The following is a 6,822-nucleotide window of genomic DNA, read 5'->3' as shown; positions in this document are numbered from 1 at the left end:
AAGGTCACCTGAGGGTCGTGGAGGGCCACGCAGCTGCCTGACAGAAGCAGTGCTGATCATTTTTACTTCTCTTATTTCCTGATGAACTCTTACTCGTCCTATAAGTCAAAGCTCAAGTGATTTCCCCTGTGGGAAGACTTCTCCAACATCACCAGACAAAATTAATCGGCCCTTTTTTGTGCTCCTATATCATTAAGGAAGATTTGGTTGCAAGGAACAGGGGAAAATCAATTTAAATGGTTTTAAACAATTAAAGATAATTTATTATCTTACACAGCTGTACCTTTCAGAAGTAATGTTAGCTTCAGGCATGGTTTGATCAGGATGCTGGCTCTGTTTCTTGTTAGTTCTCTAGACCCCACCCTCCTCTGATGTGTTGGCTTTGTCCTCTGCTAGCCTCTCCTATGGAGGTGATATGACTGTCAACAGCAATGGAGACTAAATTGCTTGCTTATTTATAGGCAGAAGGAAAGAATGTCTTCTTTCCCAGCCATAGACCAAAAGCCCTAAGACTTACTGGGTTTAGACCTGAACTGGCCAAGAAAATCCATACACCAACTGACTTAGGTCAGCATTATCTCCTCTTCCTGAATTAGTCAGTGTGTGGTAGAAAAGATGAAATTATGCCAGGCAGGGGCCACCTTGGATCTGGGATGGAATTAATCTCACTCAAACGTGTGGCTGCTATAAAATACATGTGGGTAGTTCCTAAAAGAAAATATTTTATGGAGAAGAGGGCAATTGTTGCTGGTGGTGCAACCAGCAATTGCCCTCTGTACTCTTGTGGTATTTGGTATACTAAACTCATGGGCACTTATGTTTGCCACTCCAATTCTTCTTAATTTTGGTGAAGTCCAATGTATTATGTTTTCTTTTATGGATTGTGCTTTTAGTATCATATCTAAGATATCTTTGCCTAACATAAAGTCACAAAGATTTTTCTCTTATGTTCTTTTCTAGAAGTTTTACAGATTTAAGTTTTACATTTAAGTCATTGATCCATTTTGAATTAATTTCTGTATATGATATTAGGTATGGATTAAAGTTACATTTTTGCATATGTATATTCAATTGTTTTGGCATCATTTGTTGAAAAGGTTGTCCTTTCTCCACTGAATTGCCTTTGCACCTTTGTTGAAAATCAGTTGCCAATACGTGTAGGTCTATTTCTGGACTCTATTCTGTTCCACTAATATTTTTCTCTTTTTGATGCCAATACCACACTCTTATTATTGTAGCTTGATCATGTCTTGAAATTAGGTAGTGTAAACCCTCTAACTTTCTTTTTCAAAATTATTTTGACTTTTTTTTAGGTCATTTGCATTTCCACATAAGCTTTATTTATTTATTTATTTATTGAGACGAAATCTTGCTCTGTTGCCCAAGCTGGAGTGCAGTGGCGTGATGTCAGCTCAGTGCAACTTCTGCCTCCCAGGTTCAAGCAATTCTCCTGCCTCAGCCTCCCGACTAGCTGGGACTACAAGTATGCTACCATGCCCAGCTAATTTTTGTATTTTCAGTACAGATGGGGTTTCACCATGTTGGCCAGGCTGATCTTGAACCCCTGGCCTTAAGTGACCTGCCTGCCTACCTTGGACTCCCAGAGTGCTGGGATTACAGGCATGAGCCACTGCACCCAGCCTAAATAAACTTTAGAATCAGCTTATAACTCTACAGAAAAAGCCTGATGTGATTTTGATTGAGATTGCACTGAATCTATAAATTTGGGGAGAACTGGCAACTTAATGATATTGAGTGTCTAACCCATGAACATGGTATATACTTCTCTGTTGGTTTAAATTTTCTTTAATTTATCTCAGCAGTGTTTTGTAGTTTTCAGTGTACAGGTCTAACATTAGGTCTTTTATTAGGTTTATCCCTATTTAAATTTTTTTTAAAAATTTGAGACGAGTGTCACTCTGTCGCCCAGGCTGGAGTGCAGTGGTGTGATCTTGGCTCACTGCAACCTCTGCCTTTCTGGTTCAAGTGATTCTCATGCCTCAGCCTCCTAAGTAGCTGGGACTACAGGCATGCACCACCACGCCCAGCTAATTTTGTGTGTGTGTGTGTGTGTGTGTGTGTTTAGTAGAGGCAGGGTTTTGCCATGTTGCCCAGGCTGGTCTCGAACTCCTGAGCTCAGACAATCCACCTGCCTCAGCCTCCCAAAGTGCTGGGATTACAGGTGTGCAGCACCAGACCCGGCTAATATTTGTATTTTTAGTAGAGAGGGGGTTTCATCATGTTGGCCAGACTGGTCTCAAACTCCTGGCCTCAAGTGATCCACCCACCTTAGCCTCCCAAAGTGCTGGGATTACAGGCGTGAGCCACCGTGCCTGCCCCCTACTTCAAAATTTTGATGCTATTGTATAACACATAGCATTGTTTATTTCAGTTTTGGATTGTTTATTGCTAAGTAATAGAAATACAGTGGATTTTTGTACATTAATCTTGTATCCTGTAACCATGCTGTGCTCATATATCAGTGCTAGTAGCTTTTTTGGAGATTCCATCAAATTTTCTATGTAGATGATCACGTCATCTCTGAATAAAAACATTTTGTTTCTTCTTTTTCAATTTGTTTGCTTTTTATTTCTTTTTCTTATCCTATTGCACTAGCTAGAACCTCCAGTATAATGTTGACTAGGTGGTGAGAGAGGACATGCCTTGTTCCCAGTCTTAGGGGGAAATCACTTAGTATGCTGTTCACCATCAAGTATGCTGTTAGTTGTAGATTTTTTAAGTAGACGCTTTTTATCAGGTTGAGGGTGATGCTGGCCTCATATAATGATTTGGGAACATTTTCTCCTCTTCAATTTTCTGGAAGGGTTTGTATAAAACTATTATTATTTCTTCATTAAATGCTTGGTAGAATTGACCAGTGAAACAATTTGAGGCTGGGGCTTTCTTTATGAGAAATTTTTGAGCTACAAATTTAATTTTTTTAACATATATAGGACTAGTCATGTTATTTATTTCCTCTTGTGTGAACCTTGGTAGTTTGTGTCTTTCAAGGAATTTGTTCATTTCATATAAGTTGTCAAATTTATTGGCATAGAGTTGTTTATAATATTTTCTTATAATCCTTTTAATATTTAAGAATTGGTAGGGATATTACCTCTCTCATTCCTGATTATTGATTAATTTTTGACTTCTTTCTTTTTTCCTGATAAGCCTGGTTAGAGATTTATTGATGTTATTGATCTTTTCAAAGTGCAGCTTTTGGCTTACAGATTTTTTCTTCTGTTTTTCTGTTTTATATCTCATTGATTTCCACTATGATCTTTATTATTTCTTTTCTTTAGTTTACTTAAGATTTAATTGCTCTCTTCCTAATTTCTTACGGTACCAGCTGAAGTCATTTACTTGAGAAGTTTCTTCTTTTCTAATATAGGTATTTGGTGCTATAAGTTCCTCCTAAGTACTGCTTTTGTGGCTTCTCTCAAATATGTTATGTTTTATTTTTCATTCAACTTAGAATACTTCCTGTTTTCCCCTTTGATTTCTTCTCTGAACCATGGGTTATTTGGAAGTGTGTTATTGTGTTCCTAAATGTTTGAGGATTTTGTAAAGCTCTTTTGGTTATTGGTTTCTAATTTAATTCCATTATGTTCAAAGAACATACTTTGTATGGCCTGAAACTTTAAAAATTCTTTGAGACTTGTTTTATGGCCCTGAATATGGCCATTTTGGTAAACATGTTCCATGTGCACATGTAAATAACGTGTATTCTATTGTTGTTAGGTGGAGGGTTTTATAAGCGTCAGTTAGGTCAACTTGGCTGATTGTGTCGCTTAAAGCTTCTATGGCCTTGTTTTTTTGTTTGTCCCCTCTATTCTTTTTTCCTCTCCCCCTCTTTTTCTGCATACTTTTGAATTAATTGAATATTTTAAATAATTCCATTTAATTTATCCTTTTCTTATCCACATAGTTGCCAATGTTGATGATTTTCCTTCCTTTGTGTAGATTTATATATCTGTTATCCTTTTCTTTCTGCTTCAAGGATCTTCTTTAACATTTGTTGTATCTCAGGTGATAAATTATTTTAGCTTTTGCATGGCTGAAAAAGTCTTATCTTACCTTCAGTCTCAAAATATATTTTCAAAGATATAATATACATCTAAGATATATTCAAAAGATATAATTCAAAGTTGGCAGTGTTTTTTTCTTTTAGTATTTAGAGATATTCTTCCATTATTTTCCGGTATGCATTATTTATGACAGGAAGCTTTTTGTCATGCTTATCTTTGTTTCTCTTCATGTAATGTCCCTAGTTGCTTTTAAAATTTTTCTCTTTATCATAGGCTTTGAGCCATCTGATTGTTCTGTGCCTTAGTACAGTTTTATGTTTCTTGTGCTTAGGGTTTATTGAGGTTCTTGGTTCTGTGAGTTTATAGCTTCATAAAATTTTGAATAATTTTGACCATTATTTCTTCAAGTACTTTTTCTGTTCCCCTCTCCCACCCAGCTTCCTTTATTCCCTGGGATTCCAATTACACATATGTTAGGTTATTTGAAGCTCACTGATGCTCTGAGAAAAGTATATTGGATGGGTTTAACAGCAGATAGACATTGTGGAAGAACATACTGGTAAACTTGAAAACATATAAATAGAAATACCCAACATGAAACAGAGAGAAAAAAGACTAAAAAAATGAACCCAGCTGACATTTTCACTGCAACTCCATGAGAGACTATGAGTCAGAATCACCCAGCTATGCTGCACCCTAATTCCTGACCCAAAAAAGCTTTGAGGCAATACATGTTTGTTAATCCCAGCACTTTGGGGGGCCAAGGTGGGCAAATTGCTTGAGCCTAGGAGTTCAAGACCAGCCTGGGCAACATGGTGAAACACCATCTCTACAACAAATACAAACATTAGCCAGGCATGGTGATGCGCACCTGTAGTCCCAGCTATTGGGGGTGGTGGGGGGCTGAGATTGGAGGATTGCTTGAGCCCTGGAGGTCAAGGCTGCAGTGAGCCATGGTGGCACCACTGTACTCTGGCCTGGGTGGCAGAGCGAGAACCTGTCTCTAAATAAATAAATAAATAAATAAATAAATGTTTGTGGTGTAAGCTGCTAAGTTTTGGTGTAGTTTGTTGTGGAGCCATAGATAACTAATCCATCCTCTTTGAATTTTCCTCTAACTTCTCCATGCGTAAGTCTTTCCTCTTTAGCAACTGAGTTATAAGAAGAGAATCATGAATACCCTATTAACTGTACTTTCTTTTAAAACTTTTCATGATTATTTTTTGTTTTTATACTTTTTCTTTTTTAGAGATAGGGTCTCACCATGTTGTCCAGGCTGGTCTTGAACTCCTGGGCTCAGGGAATCTTCCCCTACCTTGGCCTCCCAAAGTGCTGGGATTATAGTCATGAGACACTGCGCCCGGACTGTTTTATCGTATGGCTTCCATTCTTGTAGTCTAGGTTGATTATGATGATTTCGGCAGTACACAATAGAAAACCAATTCAAGTCGGCTTCAACATATGGAGTCACATATTAAGAAGGTTGCATAGGCCGGGCGCGGTGGCTCACGCCTGTAATCCCAGCACTTTGGGAGGTTGAGATGGGCGGATCACAAGGTCAGGAGATCGAGACCATCCTGGCTAACATGGTGAAACCCCATCTCTACTAAAAATACAAAAAATTAGCCGGGCATGGTGGCAGGCCCCTGTAGTCCCAGCTACTCAGGAGGCTGAGGCAGGAGAATGGCGTGAATCCGGGAGGCAGAGCTTGCAGTGAGCCAAGATCGCGCCACTGCACTCCAGCCTGGGGGATGGAGGGAGACTCCGCCTTGAAAAAAAAAGAAAAAGAAAAAGAAAAGAAGGTTGCATAATAAAACAGGCTGGAAGACTCCAGTGTTGGTTGATTCCACAACTCAGTAAAGTTATCTAGCACCTGGCTTATTTTTATCTTTCTGCTCTGCCATCCTCATTGAGTTCTCTTCAAGCTAACTCCCCTCCTGGTCCCGAGGTAGCTGCCATAGGTTCAGGCAACACATATAGACCCAATGACATCCAGAATCAGAAGCCTTTTACAGACTTTTCCCTTCTCATTTAATTGGCCATTGCTTGCCTGTGCCTAAACCAGACACTGTGGAGGGGAATGGGACTACAATGGTAGTCTTAAACCAGTTATGATTCAACCCCTGGGACTGGAGCTGTGGCCTTCCTTTTCCAAGATACATGGCCACATGGGCAATAAAGTACCTAAACAGATCTTGGGTTCTTTTACAAGAAAGAAGGGGGGCAGTGGCTACTGAGGAGGCAACTGTGCCTGTTTCCTTCTGTTTGACTCTGTCTTCCAGTGTGGTCAGATGTCTGACCGTGTCAATGCTTTGATTACATCCTGCAATGGCTTCTGATTAATAACTTTTGATTAAATCCCAAGTTCCTACCATGGCGGTCCAGGTGTCCATGACCTGACTTTTATCTACCTCTCCAGTCTTATCTTCCACTGCTCCCACCTTGCACATTCATACTGCATCAACCCAAGATAGTCCATGTTTCCCACCCATGCCAGGCCACACCATTAACCTTCAAGGCTCAGCCCGGGCATTGTTTCCTCCAGAAGGCTTCCAAGAACTTCCAGGTGATCCAAGTACCTTTCTTTGGGTCCCCATAGCACCCTGTGCATCCATCCCTTTCTCTTAGTCCTCTGTGATATTGACATTTCTAAGCACCACCTGCTGAATAAACCTTTTCTGAACAGAACTGCACCCCTGCCAACCTCTCTCCTGAGGCTCCAGGCCTACTTGACATGTGTACTTGGTTTGTCCTACAGTCACCTGAATCGCAACATGCCCAATAAGTGTCATAT

Source organism: Homo sapiens, chromosome 1 (genome assembly GCF_000001405.40).
Source record: "Homo sapiens chromosome 1, GRCh38.p14 Primary Assembly".
NCBI classification, from domain to species: Eukaryota; Metazoa; Chordata; class Mammalia; order Primates; family Hominidae; genus Homo; species Homo sapiens.
Note: the sequence above shows the minus strand (reverse complement) of the source record.